This window comes from Homo sapiens, chromosome 3, assembly GCF_000001405.40.
Source record: "Homo sapiens chromosome 3, GRCh38.p14 Primary Assembly".
Lineage (NCBI taxonomy): Eukaryota > Metazoa > Chordata > Mammalia > Primates > Hominidae > Homo > Homo sapiens.
In genome coordinates this window covers 129503454-129526807 of record NC_000003.12, presented here as the reverse complement: position 1 = coordinate 129526807, position 23354 = coordinate 129503454, and the positions used below count along the sequence as shown (strand labels likewise).

Here is a 23354-nt window from a genome sequence, read left to right as displayed (position 1 = left end):
GCGCTTGGCCTGGTGATTATGCCCAACGCTAATGAGGTTAAGGTGAGGGTTTGATTCTGACGTGGACCCTCATGGCCAGAAGGAGGGTGTCCTGGATGCCTTGGGTCAAGACTGACCCACAACTGGCCCCTCCCTGGCCGGGCTGAGCCCCCATCCCACACAGCTTAGCAGTACCTCAGCATCTTGCTTTTTGCATAGTGCTTCTGACAGCATGGAAGCTTTTTATTTGTGTTTTGTGCCCGTCTCCCTGCCTGTAACATGAGTCCACAAGGGTAAGCCTGGGTCTGTCTTGCTCACAACAGGGTTCCCAGAGACCAGCATGGTGCTTGGCCTGTAGTGGAAAGAGGTGGGATGATGTCTGTTTTGTTCACTGATGTGTCTCCAGGGCCTGGCACCTAGAAGGTGCTCCTGAATATTTGTTGAATGAACGAGTGAGTGGGGGAATGGACCTAGATGATCTCAGTACTTCCCCTCTCTGTCTCAGGTTCCTCCTTTGTGAGTTTCACAATTGCAACCTCATGGAGCCCTGGTGATGGGGAACTAACAGCCATCACTGAGGTGACAGTGCTCTTTATTCTGTAAAGCTTGACGAAGAAAAAAAAAGTTTTGAGACAAGGTCTCTGTCGCCCAGGCTGGAGTGCAGTGCCACAATCATAGCTCACTGTAGCCTCTGCCTCCTGGGCTCAAGCGATCCTCTCACCTCAGCCTCCTGAGTAGCTGGGACCACAAGTGCACACCACTAGTTTTTGTATTTTTTGTAGGGGTGGAGTCTCGCTATGTTGCCCAGGCTGGTCCTGAACTCCTGGCTCAAGCGATCCACCCTCCTCGGCCTCCCAAAGTGCCAGGATTATAGGAGTGAACCACCGTGTCCGGCCCAAGAAATTTTTTTTTAAACAAAAAATGCTCTTTGTTCAGGAAAACAGACTCATAGTGAGCTGGAAGGGTCATTCGAAGTCACCTACTCTGACCATCTCTGCTATATCCATTTTGCAGATGAAAAGACTGAGGCCTAGCTCTGCAGAGTTGCTCAGGTCCCGTTACAAATCAGTGACAGCCTGGGCTATAACCCACACAGTCAACTGGGCTTCCTGGGGTATCAGCTTCCCAAACCTGGCTATGCCTCCCTCCCCTCATCAAAGATAGCTCTCAGGAAAGACCAGCCAGCCATTCACACCATGGTATAAATGACTAAAGAAAGGTTTAGCTGGGGTAATGGAAAGGCCCTAGACTGAGTCACACAGGCCTGGCGTGGGGCAGTGGAAGCCTCGAGGAGAGGAGGCTGGATTCTAGCTGGTCTTTGAGTCACCATGGTAGTCCTGCTTCCTTCCCCTCTCTGGGCCTCAGTTTGCTCAGACGAGGAAGCCTCAGTGTGGGGTAGGGGCACACCCATCTATACAGTAAACCTCACCTGCTTTCTCCATGAGAGCCTGGTTCGTGAATCTTTAGACCCTATGGCCTTGGTTTCACTGTTCTCCCTCATTGGGCAAGGCTCTTTTCCACCCACCCTTACATCTGGACTGAGGCTACACAGCCTGGGTGCAGCCAGCTACCCCGCCCTCCCGAGAGTGTGCTTCGGTTCTCCACTCTGTAAAATGGGAATGATAATAGTGCCTACCTAATAGGATTATTGGGAGTGCTTGTAAGTGATCAATATATTTGTTGCTGACAGTATTAATCTCTTCCTGAGTCTCCTTCAGGTCTCCGCTCACACTCATGTCCTTGGAGAGACCACCCCTGACCATCCTACACACCAGGCACCCCCACCAGGTTTAGCTGTTTTGAGACAGGGTCTCACTCTGTCACCCAAGCTGGAGTGCAGTGGTGTGATCTTGGCTCACTGCAACCTCCTCTTCCTGGGTTCAAGCGATTCTCCTGCCTTAGCCTCCCAAGTAACCAGGACTACAGGCATGTACTGCCATGCCTGGCTAATTTTTATATTTTTAGTACAGACAGGATTTTGCCATGTTAGCCAGGCTGGTCTCTAACTCCTGATCTCAAGTGATCCATCCGCCTCGGCCTCCCAAAGTGCTGGGGTTACAGGCGTGAGCCACCACACCTGGCCTATTGTTTTTTGAGACAGGGTATCACTCTGTGACTCAGGTTGGAGTGCAGCGGCATGATCATGGCTCACTGCAGCCTCAACCTCCTGGGCTCAAGCGGTCCACCACCTCAACCCCTGAGTAGCTGGGACCATTGGTGTGTGCCACCATGCCTGGCTAATTTATTTTCATTTTTGTAGAGTTGGGCTCTCCCTATATTGTCCAAGCTGTTCTCTAACTCCCAGGCTCAAGTGATCCTCCTGCCTTGGGAGCCACTTGGGAGGCTGTAATCTCAGCCTCCCAAAGTGCTGAGATTATAGGTGTGAGCAACCACACCCAGCCATGTTCAGTTTTTACACAGTCATTACCATCAGCGACTATCTCATTTGTCTTCTTAAAACAATTTTTAAATGTTTTTTAGAGATGAGTCTTGCTCTGTTGCCCAGGCTGGAGTGCAGTGGCGCAATCATAGCTTACTGCAGCCTTGAATTCCTGTCCTAGGCTCAAGTGATCCTCCTACCTCAGCATCCCGAGTAACTGGGTCTACAGGCATGCCACCACACCTGGCCTCATTTGTCTACTTATTGACTGACTTCCCATCTATTTCTAGAATGCAGGACCAGCCTGGCCTGTTCATCGCTGCCTCTGAGCTCACAACCCATAGGAGGTGTTCAATAAACATTTGTTGAATGAATGAACAACTCCTCCTGCCCCCTATGAAGAGGGTCTAACTCCCCACTGACCACTGAGGAATCTGGGGTATGCAGGGTCAAAGTTCCTCTGCAGAGCTGGGATTTGAACACAGGCCTGGCCAGCACCCACACCTTGTGTCGGGCAGTCCAGAGAAACCCATGGTGTGGGTGTTGGCCAAGCTGGCATGTGGGGGGCTTTCTAAGCCAAGATGGCTGGATGCAGCCATCTTGGGGCACCCGAGTCCCAGCCCTCGGGAGCCCGGCTAGGGGCTTTGCCTTTGCCTCGGTGGATTAGGGGCTTAGCTTGCAGGGCACAAATCGCTCTTCAGCCTCTGCAAGAGAGGAGCTGCTGTGAGAGGAGCTGCTAGGTCAGCATCCTTCTCCTCCTTCTCCTCCTCCTCCTCCTCTTCCTTGGCTTTCTTTCTCCTGGTCCCCCACATGGCTCAGCCCCACCAGGCTGCGTCACCAAGGCTACATGAGGCCTTCAGCGGTACTGAGAGCATCAAGGGGGAATAAGGGAGGGAGAAAGACCAGCTCTCATTCCCTCCTTCCTCTTTCTCTTTTCTACCCTAGCATTTGCCAAACTCCTTATATGCGCCAGGCCCTGGGGACGCTGAGGTGGATCCCACATGGTTCCTGCTTTCAAGGGGCTCCCAGTCTCAGGGGGTACTGATCGGAAACTAAACATGAGAGATGAGCATTTTCTCCCAGTCCCAGTGCTGTGGGAGCCCAGAGGAGCAAAAGGTGGACCAGGAGGGTCAAAAGAGTCTCCCAAGCAGGGCAGGTAGGGAGGGCCAGCTGGGCCTGGAGGTGCTGGGCCCCCCAGGGTGGCGTGCTGGGGATAGAGGGCAGGCCTAGGGGTCTGGGTGTTGGCTGAATTGCATGGGCAGCTACTGCGGGTGGCAAGCAGGGAGGGCCATGACGAGGTCTCCATACCAGGCCAGTGTTCTGGATCTGCAGGGGGAGAATCAGGGAGGCTCGGGGTAAGCACCCTGCCCAGTGGTGGCCTCTGCTGTGGGCACACAGACTCCAAGCCAGGGAAGAGACACAGAGCGACCTTGGAGGAGGGGCCTCTGCCCACCTGTGTGACAGCCACCAGGGGCTCCTAGCTTCACAGCCTTGCTGGGGACAGATGGGAAACCAAGGCCCGGGGACCTCCAGCTGCCTGAGGTGCGTCTCCAGTCAGGTCCACCTGAGGCTGCTCAGTCTACCTCTCCCTTACTTCCTCCTTCCAAGAACATGGGCACAATGTTGAGCACTTGGAGATGAGAGATCAGGACCAGTCCCAGTCAGATGGGGTCTCCCTATATTGTCTGAGCTGGTCTCTAACTCCCGGCTCAAGCGATCCTCCTGCCTTGGCCTCCCAAAGTGCTGAGATTACAGGTGTGAGCGACCACACCCAGCCATGTTCAGTTTTTACACAGCCATTACGATCAACAGTTATCTCATTTGTCTTCTTAAAACAATTTTTAAATGTTGTTTAGAGATGAATGTTGCTCTGTTGCCCAGGCTGGAGTGCAGTGGTGCAATCATAGCTTACTGCAGCCTTGAATTCCTGTCCTTGGCTCAATTGATCCTTCCACCTCAGCCTCCTGAGTAGTTGGGACTACAGGCTAAAGGCCAGAATCACTGCCCCACCGTGCAGCCTTCAGCAGCTGCTCCTCTCTGGCCTCAGTGTCCTCTTAGTTCAATGGGCATCACCAGGTCCCTGTGGTGCCTTCCTTGTCACAGGCACTTGAGGGGTCAACAGGATCATCATCCAGCGCTGTTCACAGACGCAGACTGAGGCTGGAACCTCAGAGTCAGAGCTGGAGGGGGCCCTTTTGTGCAGATGGGGAAACAGCCTTGGAGAAAAGACTGGACTTGGTTCAGACCCAGATCAGGCTGAGAGAGAAAAGCAGCCAGACACAGGGCTTATGCACAAAGGTTGCACCCAGGTGCGACCAAATATGCCTTGGCTTAATGCATATTTGCTGAATGAAAAATAACATGACTGAGGCTCAGTGTCATCACCTGTGTAATAGGCAGCCTTGGATGATGCACGGAAAGTGCATCTGAATGAATAGGGGTCCTACTCAGGCCTCTAGAGCTGAGCTTCCTGGGGCAGCAGAGCCCGGCACAGCACACTCATTTTTGTGTTCTTCGGCTGAGGGGATGCATGCTGGAGTCTCGGCTGGAACCCTCCCCTGCCTCCAGCCAGGGACCATCTGATCTGTCACTGTGATTGACTGCTGGGTAGCTGGAGCTGTTTTCTCCCTCTCCCCTTTTTCCCAGCCATATGCAAATGATTTCAGTTGAAGTCATGCGCTAATGGAAATCCTAACACATTAATAAATGTTTAGTGAGAGAGCGCATGCATGATGGTAAGTAATTAGACACTCGACGGAGGAGTTCTGTTGGCACAACTGTCTGGCTCCCTTTCTTTATTTTCCTCCATCATCTCCAGAGAGATGCGGAGGGAGGCAGGGAGGAGGGGCGGTCTGGGGTGGGGCAAGGGCTCTGGGATGGGGCTCTAGCTCCGACACTTCCCACTGGGGGCCTCTGCAGCCACTCTCCTTGGGGTCTCAGTGTCTGCGTCCCTCCAGTGGGCATATTTGCCCTGCCCTGACCCCTGCACAGGTAGGTTGTAAGGAATCAATACTGCAGCACGAGGGGAGGGTGCGTTTCGGCATGGCATGACAGCCCACACCCTCTCTCCTGCCTGTGCCAGCTGTTCTTGGGCTTTTCATGAAGTGCTGCATTGCCACCTCTGGCAGGTGGACTGGGGGTGAAAGGGGCAGGGCCTTGGGGCTGGACACATCATGGGCCGCCCCTCCCAGGGCTGGAGGCAGCCCCTGGGCCCTGGCAACCCCCTTCCCAGCCCCACTGGAAATCATAACTCTTCCTTCACAGGGCTGCTGAGAGGCCTGAGACAGCATGGAACGTGGCTGGTGCCAAAAACGTCCCCCATACATGTGAGTTCTCCTTAGCTTCTGTGTGCTGTTCCTTCCATGCCCTCAAGCTGTTGGACTGGACACCAGTGATGCCTGAGGGAACAGACCTTGGCAGTCTGGAATCTCAAACGGAAACCCCCTGCTTAAGGAGCTGTTCCAAAGGGAAGAGTCTCCATTGGGCTGGGGCTGCTCTGTGGGGCTGGGGAAGGTGGATGGAAGAGGGCGGCTCCAGAGCCTGGACAGGAGCCTTGACTGGGCTACCAAACAGGAGCCTTTTTTTAAACTCCTGCCATCTTCTTTGGACCCACGTATTTTCTCTTGTCAAGATGGATCCCCATTAAATCAAAATAAATAAACAAAAAAACCCCCTGCTCCCCCACCCCTTTCTATATTGCCATTTTGATTAAATGTTAAGAGCACACAAATGTAATGTTCCTTTCAAATTAGAAACAGGTGCACTTTTGCATACGGAAATTAAGTTGCAGACAATAAGATGATTTGCTAAAATGTAGATGCTGATGAAAATAAGGAGCCCTTTTGTCATTATTGAGGCAATCTGTTGGCAAAATGTACATGCTAACGGTCTGACAGATCGGCGGACTCCAGCAGGCTGCCACGAACAACTCGGAGCCGTTCTGAAAGTAACAGATTTTTTTCCTTAGAAAATATATGTACATTCTCTTCCTCATCTCCTGGTGCTATTTACAAGGCATGAAATGCCATAAATAGGAATTCCGTGGTTACACAAGGCCCCCCCCACAAAACACAAACTTCATCTGGGCAAGAAACACATTCTGACAGTTTAACTCTTTATTCTCCTTCACAGCCCAGCAGACCCCAAGGCGGGCAGAGGGTGCAGGCCGTCCCCAGGATGCTGGTCATGGGCCAGGGTCATCCTTGCACCTGCGGCAGTAGGGGCAGCAGCCATGCTGAAGCACCAGCAACTCATAGTCCTCAGAATGGAACATCTAAGGGAAGACAGCTGTAAGACCAGGCTGAAGCCCTAGTGCTCATCAGCCCTACGCCTGGGGCCAGGACGCACTGCCTCTCAAGGGGAGGGGGCTTGGCAGTGGTCAGGGCTGGACACAGACCTGCAGCACCTTTGTTTGAGGGCTGGAAGGGGAGATGGGAGGGGGCTGTGGGGTTTCTTGTTTTCTGAGTGAAGGTCAAGGGCACATCACGCTTGCTGGGCCCCCAGGATTTGGGGAGGATGTGGACAGCGCAGGGGCCAGTGAAGTCCACTTTAGATGCACATGGAATGCAAGCAGGGGAGAGGACAGACAAGCCTCTGTCCCAACTTGGAGCCATGGATGTGCCCCTCCTCCCAGGGGCCACGCCTCCCAGAGGGACATTTGGGCAAGGGAAAAGTGGCCAAGAGAAGCACATGTGAGCTACCAGGGTGGCCACCTACCTGGAAGCAGGAGGGGCACATGGTAATGGAGGCGTCAGGCAGCAGTGAGCGGAAGTATTGCCACCTCAGGGGTGGGGGCCATCGCTTGATGAGGACATCCCGGCGGCTCATGGAGCGCAGCACCAGCCGGCTCACCACCACTGGCACGAACTCTGAGCCACCTTGCTGCAGGGTGGGCGGGAAGGAGGCACAGTGTCCTCACTCAGCCACAGTGAGACATCTGTGTGGATTATGATCCTGGAATCTTTGGCAGTGGTGAGAGAGGACCTGCTTCCTAAACCCAGGTGACCCTAACAGTGGCAAGCTCCTCCCACCAGAGCTGAAGCTGCCTCCCTGTCCACAGACCTGCGCCCTTGGCCATGGTCCCTCGGGGGCAGCCATGGCTCCCACACCCCACAGGAAGGGGTCCTGCCCCTCCTTCGTGCCACCACATCTGGAAGTTCTGGCCAATCCTCCTCCACCACTGCGCTAGCTGAGGGTCCCCATGTGCACAGGAGAAGGGATGGAGGCTGCCCTCCTGCAGGTCACCCAGAGAGGCACCCTCACCTCAAAGCTCAGCTTAGCTGTGAACGGGTCCTCATCTCCGATGGAGTCCTTGGTCTCCACTAGCCGCAGAATCTGGGAGCCTGGAGGGATCTGGTCAAGGATGGAATCAGAAGCAGAGATGGAGACAGACCCTAGCCTCCACCCTACACCCCTGTGAGAAGACTCAAGGGCAGCCAGACCAGTGGAAGAGTTTTCCAGGTGGAGGAACAGAGGGGGCTCAGGCCAAGGAATCAGAAGGAAGGGACTCTGCTGGCCCTGCTGCCCTCACCCATTCCCCTCGCAGGCCACACACACCATAGCTCCCAGGGCCAGTGGGAAGCACATGCGGGCCCTGTGAGCCACTGCGGGTAGGCACGGAGGGGATGGGCCCAGGGATCCTGGAGAAACATTCAGTGGCTGCTGGGGGTCTGCGGGCACTTGTGATGGAGCAGACAGGGGCGAGAGTCCCTGCTGACCCCAGGGCGGGTCAGACTCACCTGGAGGTCCCTGGAAACCGCCCCTCTCCCACAGTGGTGGGGCTGGTAACAGAGGCCAGCAGGGGTCCTGCAGGGAGGCCCAGGACATGGGGACTGCTGGTACCAAGTTGGAGTGGGCACAGCACCCACCTGCCAGCACCATAGCACATATCATCTGTGGCACCTGAGGGAGCCTGGGTGGCAGAGATGGGTCCGTCTTTCCTTCAGCAAGCAGCTCTCTGAGCTTCCCTCCTCCCAGTGTGGCCCCTGGGGGTGGCAGCACCTGGGAGCTGCAAGGAAGGCAGGCTTACAGCCCCCAGGCCTGCAGACTCAGTCAGTGCAAGGGAGCGAGGCCTCAGGCCACGTGTGTGCTGTTCCCTGCCAGAAGCCCCTCCCATGTCCAGCCTGCAAGTGTGGCCTGCCCTGGACAACTGCCCTGGTGCATCCTCCTGGCCAAGGGGCAGGCTGAGCTGTGCCCCGGGGCTTTCACTGCCACAGCTGAGAGGAAAGCTGGCTGTTTCTGGGGGCTATAAGGCTGAGGGGATGTGGGGCTGGCACTGCTCCTGACATCTCTGTGTTATGGGGGCACCACGGGGCTGCCAAAGAATGAAGTTGCCCAGAGGACAGTGCGGCCAAGAGAGGCAGAGCCAGCCTGTGACCGACCAGACTGAGCGCTGGGCCAGGAAGCTTCCTCTCCTGCTTGGGGCTTCCTTGCACACCCTTTGCTTGTTCAGCTTGTCAGTTTTGGACTCTGTCACTTGCATGCGAAAGTGACTTGAGTGGAAGAGCTGGGGGCCAACACCGACATCATGACATCATGTCCCATGTTGGCTATGCAGGAGCTATGCACAGACAGAGGCACAGCCAGTGCCTTTTAGGGGTCAGGGGAGGGTGGGAGACCCACACGGGAAGACCAAGGTGCCACTTGCCACTTCTGGGTCCTTAGGCCCTGGCCAGCTGTCTGCCCATCTCTGATCCCTGTCCCTGTCCCATGTGGGCCTCTCCAATCTCTCTGGGAACACAGGGCCAGGCTCAGCATGGCCCGCGATCCCCTGGGACTGGGCCCTCCTACTTCCCGCCTGTCCCCAGACCCCTCACACAGCCGCACACACAGGCTCTGGCCAAGGGCATGGATACTGTTGTTTGCAATCTCTAGCTGTCTGTCATCCCGCTTGGGTCTCAGCACCTCCAGGTCGATGAGGGAGATGGCTTCTTCATCAGTGATCCCTTCCTCCAGGTAGAACTCAACCAGGTGTAGCACGTCTGGAGGGCATAGAGAAAGGGCTGAGGGGGCTGGAGGCCTTGCAAAGGACTTGCCGCCAGGCAGGTGGGGTGACCACAGAGTTGCTTCTCAACCCACTGGCAGCTTCACCAAAAGCAAGAAGAGGCAGCAGGGGCAGTCTCTGTATGTGTGTGCAGGAGCAGTCTCTGTGTGTGTGTGTGTGTGTGTGTGTGTGTGTGTGCAGGAGCAATGTGTGTGTGTGCAGGGGCAGTTTCTGTGTGTGTGTGTGTGCAGGGGCAGTCTGTGTGTGTGTGTAGGGGCAGTCTCTGTGTGTGTGCAGAGGCAGTCTCCGTGTGTGTGCAGGGGCAGTCTCCATGTGTGTGTGCAGGAGCGGTCTCTGTGTGTCTGTGTGCAGGGGCAGTCTCTGTGTGTGTGTGCAGGGGCAGTCTGTGTGTGTGTGTGTGTGTGTGCAGGAGCAATCTGTGTGTGTGCAGGGGCAGTTTCTGTGTGTGTGTGTGTGCAGGGGCAGTCTGTGTGTGTGTGTGTAGGGGCAGTCTCTGTGTGTGTGCAGGGGCAGTCTCCGTGTGTGTGCAGGAGCGGTCTCTGTGTGTCTGTGTGCAGGAGCGGTCTGTGTGTGTGCAGGGGCAGCCTCTGTGTGTGTGTGTGTGCAGGGGCAGTCTCTGTGTGTGTGTGCAGGGGCAGTCTCTGTGTGTGTGCAGGAGCGGTCTCTGTGTGTCTGTGTGCAGGGGCAGTCTGTGTGTGTGTGTGCAGGGGCAGTCTCTCTGTGTGTGTGTGTGTGTGTGTGTGTGTGTGTGCAGGAGCAATCTGTGTGTGTGCAGGGGCAGTTTCTGTGTGTGTGTGTAGGGGCAGTCTCCGTGTGTGTGTGTGTGTGCAGGGGCAGTCTCTGTGTGTGTGCAGGGGCAGTCTCTCTGTGTGTGTGTGTGTGCAGGAGCAATCTGTGTGTGTGCAGGGGCAGTCTCTGTGTGTGCACGCAGGGGCAGTCTCCATGTGTGTGTGCAGGGGCAGTCTCCATGTGTGTGTGCAGGGGCGGTCTCTGTGTGTGTGGGCAGGGGCAGTCTGTGTGTGTGTGCAGGGGCAGTCTCTGTATGTGTGTGCAGGAGCAGTCTCTGTGTGTGTGTGCAGGGGCAGTCTCTGTGTGTGTGTGCAGGGGCAGTCTCTGTGTGTGTGCAGGGGCAGTCTCTGTGTGTGTGTGTGTGTGTGTGCAGGAGCAATCTGTGTGTGTGTAGGGGCAGTCTGTGTGTGCACGCAGGGGCAGTCTGTGTGTGTGTGCAGAGGCAGTCTCCGTGTGTGTGCAGGGGCGGTTTCTGTGTGTGTGTGTGCAGGGGCGGTCTCTGTGTGTGTGTGCAGGGGCAGTCTCTGTGTGTGCAGGGGCAGTCTGTGTGTGTGTGTGCAGGAGCAGTCTGTGTGTGTGTTCAGGGACAGTCTGTGTGTGTGTGTGCAGGGGCAGTTTCTGTATGTGTGTGTGTGCAGGGGCAGTCTGTGTGTGCGTGTGTGTCTGTGTGTGTGTGTGGCCTCTGCTCAGCTCCTGGGAAGGGGCTTCTGATCCTCTGTCAACATCAAAGGAGCTGGGCCTTGATAACCTATCTCAGCCTCCTGGTCTGAATGCAAAGCCATCGGACTCTCTTTCTGGGGCATTTGGTTATGTAAAGCCCTGCGCCAGGTTCCCAGAGTGGGTGCTTCAGCTTTGGGCAGCAGTGGGTCCTATCTCTGGGAACACCGACAGTGACTCCTTGTGTCAGGTAGGTGGGCGTCAGAGTGTCCTCATTTCATAAACAGGGACATTCAGAGGCCTTTGGCCCTTGCCCAACGTCCTGAGGCCAGAGAGCAGTGGAGTGAGCCTGGCTGTCCACAGGCTGTCCCACCCACATGCTCAGGATGCAGGGACTCACCGTAGGAAGAGGCGGAGAAGATGAAGGGCTGGCGGCAGTTGATGCAGACGTTGCCCAGGTTGTTGAGCAGCGGGTTGTTGGTGGAGCAGCGGTAGCACAAGGGCACCAACTCCTACAAAACAGCCACGGACTCCCGAGGGGCCGGGGCAGGCACGTGTCCTCCTCCCCCTGGACTCTGGCTTCAGGCCCCTGGGGCCTGGCTGCCAAGAGGAAAGGCCACCCGGGTGGGCAGGCAGGGAAGGGGCGCCGGGCCCAGGAGCTCCATGCCATGGGGAAGCAGGATAAAGGCCTGCCGAAATACCCAAGCCCTGTCACTTGGGTCCCCGTGCCCAAGACACCTGCACAGGCAGCGCTCAACGGCACTTTTCCCCTGGCAGGAATGACAGTGGCCGCTGCCACCATTAGCCAGCCATTTACCATGCTCCGGGCACCGTGCGGAGCACGTGGACTATACTGGCTCATTTAGCCTCACAACTACCTGTGGGAAAGGGGGAACCCAAGGTGCAGAAAGATGGAGACAGAGCTAGGAGAGGGTGGAGCCGGGATGTGAACCCAGGTCTGTCTGAACCAAGTCCTTGCTCTGAGCTTGAGGGAGGATGTGTGAAAGAAGGAAGCTGGCTGGGTTGAAGGAATGTGGGTTGGGAGTGTGGGGTAGATTTGCTGGAGAACTACAGCCTGGTTCCAGAAAGGGCAGAGGTTTCTAGAGTAAGAGTCAGCTCTGGGGCCAGGCCTGGGGTAAAGGCAGAGCCACCTGGGCACAGAGGTGTGGGGCTTGCCTAGGGGAGGGCAAGGAGCAAGGGAGGCCAGGCTGAGGGCTGAGGCCGGGGCCGGGGGCTGTGAGCGGGCGCCAGGTGGACTGCGGGGAGAACAGGAGGTGGACAGGGAAGCACAGGGGAGCTGGCATGGCCAGGCTTGAGCAGGGGGCACAGAGCCTAGAGGGAGCTGCAGCTGTCTCTCTTCAAACGGAACCCAGGCCAGGCAAGAAGGCATGAGATGGCCTCAAGGGAGAGGAGAAGCCACCTGCCCAAGGGTGCTGCATCCTCACCTCACTGTCGTGGAAGGGCTTGGCGCGGATGGTCAGGGTACCCAGCTCAATGGACTTTTGGAATCTGGCAGGGATGTACAGGCCACGCAGCTTGTCATAGGCGTGCCGGGCCAGCCTGTAGGCACCGAGGGCCTTGCTCTGCTTGGCCAAGGTGAAGAGTATTTTCCTGCCGTGAACAGGGTTAAGGACAGCAGGGGCAACACCAGGCCCAGGAGCTGGCACTGCCTGTCCTTGGAGTGAGCCCCAGGCTGGAACACAGCTTGTGCTGGTGCCGGGAAGGCAGAGGAAAGACCGTGAGGAAGGCTCTGTGCGCTTGTGAGAGGTGAGTGTACTTCTCGGATGGCAAGGCCCAGGAATTTTTCCAAAGATAAAAACAGCGTAGTTTCCATTAATACTTTAACCTTGCTTAGCATCTCTGGGCCTGCTGATGGCTCATCTTATACCCTGACTAGGCCAAAATGGCTCTTCCTGCCTCACCAAACCTGCCAGCCAGGCCCTCCTAGGATGCCTGGCACAAAGGGCACTCTGCTCTCACCCTGCCAGGTGGGGCCTGGTCCAGACTCCCTGGGGAGCCACCCTCAACCCTGCTCTGAGGCCCCTGGGTGTACCCCACTCTGTCTGCACACCCTTCCCCGAGGGCCTGGTGGGCAGTTTCTGAGCGGCAGCCTGTGCTCTGGGGCCCCCTTGAAGCTCCTCAGCCAGAGGCTGACGAGCCTTTGTGCTCTCCTCTCAGGTCACCTCCGATGTTGGCTGCCCCCAGGCCCTCCTGCCCTTCCTCCCGCATCTCTCCCAGTGTTCCTGCTCCCGCCGTCTGCAGTGCAGCCCCGTCCACTTCAGCAGTTCTGTGGAGAGTTTCCTTCTGTGTCTCCAGCATGACTCCTCAAAGTCAGGGACTGTCAGGAGCCATTTCCAGGTCCCCAGGGGATGGCACAGGGTAAGGCTCAGGGTAGAGGTTCTATCAAGCTGTTGACTCAAACAGAACTTGCTGGAAAGGATGAGTACAGGTGCTCAGCCCCCACAGGCATAGCCCTGACTGCTCCTACGGGGAAAGACGGAGACGCATGCAGCAGAGGTCTGACTCCAGGAAGGCACCCCTTGATTTGAGGGTATTTCCCCTGAAATGTACATAATGGGCCTGGAATCCTCTAGCGAGGCCAATTCTTACAACAAGGAGCTCTGGGTCTTCTCCAGTGGAGTGGGTTTTCCTTACAGAGGGAAGGTGGGGCTGCGGCTGGGAAGGAGCTGAGAGTACAGTGAGATTTAGAAAAGAACAGGGACAATTATGTCTCCTGACATCCAAGACCTTAAAAATCTGGATCATTGCCTGGTAATGATCCAGTATCTGGCTGCACAGGCCCTTCAGGCACCTGCTCTGCTTATGGTACCACTGTGGCCCTCGATGGCTACAGAAGAGAGGAAAACCCAAAGGTAGGCTCTCAGGCCTTGGGTCCTGCTGCCTCTCCGGCCCCTCCCACCCAGGGTCCCCTCACCCTCTCCCACATGCCTTGCTTGCCTCTCCATATGCTGGGTCCTCCCCTGGAACATCCACTTGGCCATCTTCCCTGGCTGCCTCAGCTTGCATGATGGACATCTCCTCCTCCAGGTAAACTTCCCTGACCATGGCCCTGACCTCAGCTTCATTCCACCCTCAGACACAGCACACATCCACCAAACCAGACCCTAACTTGTGACCTCCCTCTTTGATGGCAGCTTTGCCACCTGGTGCCTGGCCCAGGGCTTGGGGCACAGAAGGTGCTATGTATACCTGGGCTGAACAAACACTCCCTCCTCCCCAGTCTGGAGAAGTGCCCAAGGTTCCAAGCCTGAAGGCCTGGTGCTTCTTCCATTTCAGTCACACCCTCATCTGTGGGTTCTAGGAGGGATTGGGACAGTGTGTTGGCCAGAGACCCACTGCTGGGTTCAGCTCAGAGAGCCCTGAAAACTCATCTTCTCTTGGCCTGGGCCCCTGGGCCTCCCTGCTGAGCCTCTATAGCCAAACAGCAGCGGGAGGGTGAGTTCTCTGTCTTCCCTGAGGGTTGCTGAGAGAGGAAGGTTCTGCCAGGAAAGTGCTCTGGAAGGAATTTCTTGGGGCCATTAGACAAGAACGGTGGTGGGACGGAGGAGGGATAAGAGAAAGGATACACTTTAGAGATGCCCGAGGGGGTGTCCTTGGGCAGGCTGTGCAGCAGGAACCTGGAGATGTTGAAAAGAGTTTCAGGACGATGGACACTGAACGGATCTTCCTGCAGTGAGAGAAAAGCAAACAGGGATTGAGTTCTTCAAGAGCTGCTGCTGGGCCAGGCCAAAAGGCAGACACCAATAATTCTGAGTGACATCAACAAGAGCGGCTCTGATTATTGAGCACCTACTCCTACTGTGTGCTGAGCGCCATATAGCCACTGTCTCATCTGGTCTTTAACATAATAACCTTGTGGTATGCATTTTTATCCTCACAGTACTGATGAGGAAACCGACACCTAGATAGATGATTTGCCCAAGTCACCAACTAGAACAGAGCTGAGCTGCTGTTCAAACCCAGGTCTGATTCCAAAGCCCAAGAATGTCTTTCTTCCAAGCTGTACTGCCTCTGGAGTTGGTAATTATTCCATTTCTCTGAACTACTCAAGTTGTCTCCAATTAGCTCTAAAAGAGAAGACCTTCTATGCAGCTTAGGACATAACCACTGATTCATATAAGCCTGTCTTTCAACAGAGGCATTTAGCCCTCTCCAGCATGAACCCACATGCCTCTTCTGTGCTTTCCAACAGCAGCTTGACTGATGTGCCACCAAACGAGCACACATGCGGAGTTCCTCAACTGCTGACCCATTTCCCTGGCTCCTGGCATAGGCACTAACAGGAGGCAGTTAGCACAGATTAGTGATTGGTCTTCGTACCTAGAGGCTGCCAGAAGCTCAGCAGACAAATAAGGAATTTTCTGTGTGAGGGTCTACAAAAGGTTAAGAATACCTTATTTTGAAGGCATCTGGCACACTGTATATAAACTGAGATTGCCCATTTCTAATAAAGCTTTAGATGGTGAGGATTACAGCAGGCCAGTAACTCCTCTTTCTTGTGAGCACTTAAGAAGGGTCTTGTGAGGCCCTACTCATCACTGAGCCACCAAAGCTTAACCCCTAATTGGTCTGAACTCCTGAGGACTCACTTTGCTCTACACTTCTTCAGTTCAGAGCTTAGCATTTTCTATTTAGTTCACACGTAAATTTCTATACCTTTTGTTAGCTCCAAGAACCCAAGAAAACCTGAGACCACATCCTTTCCAGGGTAAGAACAAGATGAACTCTGCCTGTGGTTCTACTGCACTAGGTAGGGAAGCTAAGTAACGTCCCAGAGAGAATAGGTAGCAGGGGAGTCCTTTCCTCTGGGAAAGATGCCATGTATCCAGGAAGGACCTGAACTTCCCTTTCCAGTCTTGCCCTGAATCAGTGCTGCTCTGCTGGGCCCTGGATGCTGAACCACAAACTACCACTCACCTCCAGGCCTTTGCACAGGCTGTGACCTTTGCCACAAACACCCTTCCTAATCCTCCTCCACTTCACTTGCCCCATTTTTATTCTCTCCCTCCTTCTGGCTGAGAGGACACCTCCTCCAGGAAGTCTCTTCACAGGCCTCTAAACGTTTCCCCTGAGGGATTGTCCTGTTTGCTAGACTGGGACTGACTGCAGGGACAACGTTTTGTTCACCACCGTGTCACCAGGTCTCATCACAGGGTCTGTCACGTAGTAGGCATTTATTGAATGAAGGAATGGCCCAATTAATAAGATTCAGCTGGGATAAGAGCCAGGGCCCCAGCTGGTCTGAGGCCCCTTAGCTCCTAGTCCCATGTAGGTCCTGGAGCAGAGCTCAGCTGTTAGAGACAGGAGCCCTCAGCCCCATGCCCCAGGTGAGGAAGAGGACAGGGAGCAGCGAGAGAAAAGTCTGAGGGAAGGAGCTGAGAGCCAGGCTCTGGAGTGGCTTGGGCAAAGTGAGGCTGAGCTGGGCCCTGACTTCCAGCCTAAGTTGAGTCTGGGCTCCTTTTGTGGTGGTTTCTCTCCAGGTGAGCACCTGATAAAGATGAGGGACCCTGAGGGGGTCTCGTTTCAGGAAAGCCAAAGACTGTAAGGGAAGATGAGGTCCCTTGAGACCACTGACCCTGCTGTGGGAAGAGATGTAACACTAGACTGACGGCATGCACAGAGCCTGTCAGGAGTCCTTCTTGCCAGACTTTCCCAAGAGGCAAAAAATGTGCTGAGAAGTCAGCACAGATTAGAGGGAAAGAAATGCCCAAGGTGGAAGGCAGGGCATTTGAGAGGTCAAAGAACGGCGGGAAGGCTGGGCGTGGTGGCTCATGCCTGTAATCCCAGTGCTCTGGGAGGCTCAGGCAGGAGGATCACTTGAGTCCAGCAGTTTGAGGCTGCCATGAGCTATGATCATGACACTGCACTCCACCTTGGGCGACAGAGACCTCATCTCTGAAAAAAGAGAAATGCTAGATGCCCAGCTGGAGGGAGCAGGTCAGGGAAAGCTGGCGTGAAGCCTTGCCTGGAGCAGCAGTAAGGATAGCTGCCACCTAGGGTCACTCTGTGCTAGGTACTCTTCCAATATTAACTCGTCTAATCCTCAAAACAATCCCATCAAGTACATAGTGCTGTTATCCCTATTTTATAGAGAAAGAAGCTGAAGGCCAGAGAAGATAAGTAACACAGTGTCATTTGTGTGTGAGGACTCTCGAGTTTACCCACTAAACCAACATACTAGCCTGCTTTCTCTAAAAGGAGACAGGGAGGGAAAGGCTAGGAACACAGGCTCCAGTGCCAGACTACTGAGACTCACATATTGGCTCTGGAATTTGCTGTTTGATAGTAGAATACATTCTTAAATGTGGTTATGTTATACATCATTTCAACGGGCATTTCTCGCTTTATGTTTTTTTGCTAATGAGTTATTACTTACTGTTTATTTTAGACTATGCAAATGATGTTAGACAAAAAACAAATTCAAGCAGTTTTCTTATTTGAGTTCAAAATGGGTCATAAAGCAACAGAGACAACTCGTAACATCGACAACGCATTTGGCCCAGGAACTGCTAACAAACATACAGTGCAGTGGTGGTTCAAGAAGTTTTGCAAAGGAGATGAGAGGCTTGAAGATGAGGAGCATAGTGGCCGGCCACTGGAAGTTGACAACAACCGAGAGCAATCATCGAAGCTGATCCTCTCACAACTACAGGAGAAGTTGCCGAAGAACTCAATGTCAACCATTCTACGGTTGTTTGGCATTTGAAGCAAATTGGGAAGGTGAAAAAGCTTGATAAGTGGGTGCCTCATGAGCTGATAGAAAATGAAAATATAGTCGTTTTGAAGTGTTGTCTTTTCTTATTCTATGCAACAACAACAAAACATTTCTCAATCAGATGTGAGGTGTGACAAAAAGTGGACTTTACATGACAACCGTGATGACCAGCTCCACGGCTGGACTGAGAAAAAGCTCCAAAGCAGTTCCCAAAGCCAAACTTGCACCAAAAAAAGGTCATGATCACTGTTTGGTGGTCTGCTGCTGGTCTGATCCACTACAGTTGTCTGATCCTGGTGAAATGATTACATTTGAGAAGTATGCTCAGCAAATCGAGGAGATGCACCGAAAACTGCAACACCTGCAGCTGGCACTGGTTCACAGAAAGGGCCCAATTCTTCTCCACCCACCTGACTGCACATCACACAACCAATACTTCAAAATTTTGCCTCATCGCAATATTCACCTGACCTCTTGCTAACCAACTACCACTTCTTCAACCATCTCAACAACTTTTTGCAGGGAAAATGCTTCCACAACCAGCAGGATGCAGAAAATGCTTTCCAAGAGTTCGTCAAATCCCAAAGTATGGATTTTTATGCTACAGAAATAAACAGACTTATTTCTCATTGGCAAAAATGTGTTGATCATAATGGTTCCTATTTTAATTAATAAAGATGTGTTTGAGCCTAGTTATAATGATTTAAAATTCAGTCTGAAACCGCAATTACTTTTGCACCAACCTAATAACCTCTGAGACCTCTCTGTCTAGGGCTTCATTCTCATCTGTAACATGGGGGTGACAGTCCTTCCCTCAAAGTGTGGTTGAAAGGAGGAAATGACTTGATACAATGAAGCCCTCAGTACATTGCCTACTAGGTACTAAGTGCTCAACATCTGTTGGGTGATTGAGGAGATACAGTGGATGAAGAGGCTGTTGACAACCCATCACCTGTTCCCCATTGCCACCAGAGAGATTTAAAATGGCTTTCTCAAAGGAATCAGGGAGTGACTAAAAAGAACTACTTGGGTTTCTGGAGACCAAGCCAACACTCTAGTTTCACAGAGAAGGAAACTGAGGGACAGAGAGGGAAAGTGAATTGCTGAAGAACACACAAATCACTGACAGGGCCAGGGAGGGATCTCGAGCCTTTGGTTAATCTGGGCCTTCGCCCTACTGAAGGAGAGGGCCTCATGGAACTCCCACCCCTCTTGCTGGTTAATGCAGAGTTTCCCTGAGTCATCAAAGCCTGCACTGAGGAACTAGCAAGGCCCATTCCAGCTCTGGATCACAATTCAGGAGCCCACTGCTTGATGCATGGCAGACAAACAGTCAATCAAAGAAACTCAAACTTTTTCTTCCCAGAGGAGACCAAGATTCCTCAGCAGTTCACTGTGACCAGTGGGTTACATTCCATCCAGTCTGCTGCTCTTTAGATATGCCCGGGACCCCTAGCTCAGGAGATGGTACCCTCAGGTGCTGGTGACCCAGCCACCTTACCGTGTGGCGATGGATGGCATGGTAACCATGGTACAGCTCTGCCAAACGCTGGAAGTGGTAGAACTTGCCAAGCATTGTGTCCTTCTGGGCAGGATCTGCTGTGTGCAGCGGGTGGGAGGGGAAACGTGTCAAACAGTGTCTGTGGCTGCCAACTGGCCCCAGGAGGAGGGGCCAGGCAACAGTACTTTTCCCAGCATCAGTTCTCCCACCACACAGTGTCTGTGCCAGGGTGAGGGACAAAGTGTAGTGAGGGGAAAGCCACTCTGCTTAGGAGTAGGGCCACTCCAGGATGGTGAATTCTTAGGTGGACAGGGCATAAGGCCAGGGAGTTTGAGGATATTTTTTCCAGATCTCTCACTGCACCCTCCCAGATTATTCCCCTGGGGGAGCGACAGCTGCAGCAAGACCCAAGATGTGTCGGAAGAGCCTGCTGGGACAAAGGCAGGCAGACACCAACTGTATTCATGCTCATCTTATGCCTCTTCCCTCTGCTGCTCCTATCAGAAGCATAAGGCACTGGCCCAAACAGAAAAATGCGACCTTACACCTAGGCTTGACAATTTTCAAACTGTAAGCATGACTCTGTGAGGCTCCCAGCAACCAAAGGGACCAGGACAAGGGACTCCCACAGGACAGATGGGCATGCAGAGCTCAGGAAGGATTGTGACTTGCTACAAGTCACCTGCAGCTTCCATGCCAGTGTTTTTCCCACCCCTGCATGTGGCCTTGTCCAGTGGAGAAGAACATCTCCTTGTCTCTTCCACTTCCACTACTCCTTCAGTACATCATGGGAAGTCTTGTGAAAGAAAGCAATATTGAAACTGTTTTCCTGGCTGGGATGAGTAAGAATCTGGAGTGTGTTACTGTAAAGCCATCTCTCGTTCATCTTCTCATTTAATTAAAAAAATTTAAAACCCAGTGCTCACCCAGGTCCAGCTATGGGCTCCCAGGTAGCAGGGGAGAGATATGCTCTGAATTAGCAATGCAGGGCTGGACCTGCCAACCATAACCCCAGGACGGTCCTCATACCATTCTGATGGGCAAACTGGAAAAAGATGATACACCAGATTACGCCACTGCAAGGCAGGCTTATGGACAATACACCCAATAAACAAGCCCAGGGCTTTAATTAAAATGTCCCAGCTCTTCTGATGTTTATCTTGGTGTCAGAGTGGGGCTTGGGAAAACAGTGGTCTGGCTGATGTTTACACACCTTGAGCTATATCGAGGCACTGCATGGACAGCATCCAGTAATAATAGGCAGCATCATTAAACCTGCTCTCCGCCACGGCATTGTTTGTGAGCTGCTCCAGCACCTGGACCGCTTCTCTCTGTCGCCCAGCCTTGTGGAACGCTGTAGGAGTGGTGGAGGGAGGAAAAAAGCACATGCTATTTAGGAAGTCACACAGGAGGCAGGATGGAGCTCTGTGGGGCTTGCACAGGGCTGCTTTGGAAGTAGGACACTCATTGGAGCATCTGCAGTGCTTCGTTGCTGGGATGGCGCTTCTCTAAATAACCAAGGCTACATCCTGGAAAAAGTACAGTGAGATAAATTCCTTTTTGGCTGGGAAAAGGCGACTGACTTTGAAAAGCATGCAGAAAGGAAAAACTGGAGGGGCCAAATTCCAGGGCAAAGTCTAAGAGTGAAACTTGCTCATCTTCAGTGAGGTTCTGCCCCCTGCTCATTCCAGGGCAAAGTTTTGTGACTCCTAAGGTGATAGAAACAGGACCTGCCACTTTACTGCACTTGGAGGTAAAATGCTTTTGTTGCTAATCACCTCACTGGATCCTCACCACAGACTTATGAAGAAGGAAAATTATCCCCCTTTTTATGAGCAATGAAATGGGCTTTGCAAAATGGAGGTAAAGTGTCACACCCAAGGTCCCAGAACCAAGCCCAACTCAAGTCCTCAGTTTGTCTTCAAATGACTGCTTTTCAATGACCACTTTGAAGGATCTGCCTCAGTTATCACAACCATTTGTGAAAACAAGCAAAAAAACTCTCAATCGTTCCTATACTGTTTAACAGATATTTTCTGAGTACCTACTACGTGGCCAGCCCCTTGAGATGTTGGTGGCTGCCAGTGAAGCACTTGTAGCCATGACACTTGCCATATGAGAGCACTCAAATGATCCTAATCCTCCGCCTTCAGAGAAGGAGAAGGTCTGGCCTTTGTTCCGTTCTCATCTACAACCTCTTGTCTGAGTACCAAGTTACTATGGTGATGGATTCTTGGAAGGGCAGACACAGACAGATGGATAGGTTGATGTGTTTTGCCCAAACATGCAGATACTTCAGCAACTGGGTGCTCTGGAAATGCTGAAGCAGCAGAGAATGCGCTAACCTTCAATGAGGGCTTTCGGTTGAGGGGCTCCAACAGGGAGACATTTGTTCTGCAATGTGTCCAGAGAGGGCAACGGTTACCATATAGAAGCGTAAATCAGATGCTATGGAACATCAAACACCCAACTTCCATTAGAAGGCTAAATAGGCAGCAAAACAGAAAAATCAGGTTCCCCAGTCAGAGAGGTACTGGTCCAATTCTGGCTCTGCTGCTGACTAGATTTGTGACTTGGCATGGCACATTTAGCCTCTTCGTCCTTGCACAGCTGTTGGCAAGATTCAAGGTTACATAGGTTAAGTGCTCAGCCAGGGCCTGACACAGAGAGGGAAGTCAACTTTAAAAAATATGATTAATAACATCAGCGAAAGTTCTATACTTGCTTTAACTCCTATTTCAGATGCTGTTGTACGCTGTGTGCAGCCCATTTTACCAACAGAATTCTTGAGGAGCAGAAGTCACCCGTTTATCTGAGCCAGAAATAGAAGCTGAGTTTCTATTCTCAGTAGAGACCATGCCTCACACTGTGTGGCAATCCTCCCTTATTGTCCTCATGGTACCCTGGCTCACATTACCTCCCTGCCACTTCCTAGCTATGAAACTTCAGGCAAATTTCTTCACCTCTTTACCCTTCAGTTTTCTCATCTGCAAAATGGGAATCATAATGATGGTAGCTATACCATAGGGCTGTTGCGAGGATTAAACGGGAAGATACACTGCAGTGCACAGCACTTTGCTCAGTAACCACAGAGGCTTGGAGAGGAGGCAGCACCTCTTAAGGGCCTGTGGCAAGTGAGTGTGGCCCAGGAGGGTGTGACTCCAAGGCCAATGGTCTTTCCATGCTCCACAGTCTTTCACCACCAAACAATCACATCCCCAGGATGAAGTCATCTATCTTGGGATCTACAGATGGGAAGGGCTTGGTAGCCTTCCTGAAATGTATGTCTTGGCAGTAACTTCTCCTGCTCCTTCTAGAAGGTGACAGTCTGTGTTGCCTACCTTTCTGGGCTTCCTCAAAGCGATCGTTCTCTGCTAGCCACTGAGCATACGGCATGTAGATGTCATCCTTAAACTCAGGATGCTTCTCACCCAAAGCAAAGGCCTGGGGGAAGGAGCAAATGAAGTCTTAATAAAGCTGCCCCTGCAGCCCCCATGAAAACACTGTACTTGGCTGAATCCATTAGGGACATCATATTTTGCCAGCCTGACAACTCAGAGGGGGAGAGTGCCTCCCCCAAAAAACTACCCACAGAAATGCAAAAACAAATCAGCTCTTCGAAAACAAAAGGCAATTAACAGCAATATGCAAGCGACTGGATTCAGTAACAACACAGTCTGTTTCTGGACCACAGAAGCGGCACAGAATCGGAAACATTTTATTTTGAGGGTTTGCGTGGGCTCCTGTAGTGCTGCAAACAGATTTCTTTTAATTGCGGGCGACACCTAAGGAAACAGAATTGACATTATCATCATCACCACTTCTTATCAGTTGTCAAAGATGACTGTGGGCTTCGTGCTGTATGGACCCACTGACTGCTTCTCACCTAAGCCCCAGAACCACCTGTCAGGCCAGGAGAACCGGACATGAGCCATGGTGAGAAAGTCTGCCTGATGCACAGCGAGGTCTGAGTCATTCTAAGATGCTCTAATCTATGCTGCTTGGGAAATCTAATAAATTTCTCTTGAGAAGCCACCATTGCCTCTGTCCCTAGCCCCACCTTTTCTCATGACTGACCTCATCACCTCACCAATGGAGCTGTTCAGAGAGCAGACAACAGTCAGACGGCTCCTCTCAGTGAAGGCTTTGCTTTCACTCTAAAATGGACCATGATGGGTGGGTGGGTGAGTCGGGGGAGGATCTTGGCACAGCTCCTAATCCTCTCGGGGATGGATTTCTCTGCAGGGAACAGGGAGCCAGTGAGCTGGAGGGTGGGGGTTGAGCCATAGAAGGGGCAGCATCAGCTGCT

At 53.0% G+C, this 23354-nt stretch overlaps 1 protein-coding gene across 26 annotated transcripts in view, besides 3 other annotated features; it reads right to left on the bottom strand.

Moving 5' to 3' along the window:
* Window positions 1-78: part of a conserved region, noted in NCBI's record as "conserved region; well-conserved RER sequence with enhancer function for the orthologous bovine sequence", that runs on past the window's edge. NCBI's record gives the evidence for it as "EXISTENCE:sequence alignment evidence [ECO:0000200][PMID:8576239, PMID:24301678]".
* Window positions 2-45: a conserved region, noted in NCBI's record as "conserved region; region of homology to the red/green opsin LCR 37 bp core". NCBI's record gives the evidence for it as "EXISTENCE:sequence alignment evidence [ECO:0000200][PMID:8576239]".
* Window positions 416-616: a silencer, noted in NCBI's record as "peak4826 fragment used in MPRA reporter construct". NCBI's record gives its function as "represses an SCP1 promoter by STARR-seq MPRAs in K562 erythroleukemia cells {active_cell/tissue: K562}" and the evidence as "EXISTENCE:reporter gene assay evidence [ECO:0000049][PMID:32103011]".
* Window positions 6301-23354, bottom strand: part of IFT122 (intraflagellar transport 122) — an 80284-nt gene continuing 63230 nt past the window's right edge. For 12 of the 26 annotated variants that reach the window (NM_001280541.2, NM_001410808.1, XM_006713691.4 and 9 more), the window contains 10 exons: window positions 22387-22489; window positions 20259-20399; window positions 19046-19143; window positions 14396-14496; window positions 12254-12419; window positions 11209-11320; window positions 9214-9339; window positions 7622-7701; window positions 7076-7240; window positions 6301-6632 (listed from right to left, as the gene is read on the bottom strand). In NM_001280541.2, the coding sequence (NP_001267470.1) occupies window positions 6543-6632; window positions 7076-7240; window positions 7622-7701; window positions 9214-9339; window positions 11209-11320; window positions 12254-12419; window positions 14396-14496; window positions 19046-19143; window positions 20259-20399; window positions 22387-22489 (1182 nt within the window). In that variant the 3' untranslated portion in view covers window positions 6301-6542. Of the gene's footprint in view, window positions 6633-7075; window positions 7241-7621; window positions 7702-9213; window positions 9340-11208; window positions 11321-12253; window positions 12420-14395; window positions 14497-19045; window positions 19144-19209; window positions 20091-20258; window positions 20400-22386; window positions 22490-22721; window positions 23285-23354 lie in introns of those variants that run through there. The other 14 variants (NM_001280545.2, NM_052985.4, NM_052989.3 and 11 more) reach the window with 3 other exon arrangements.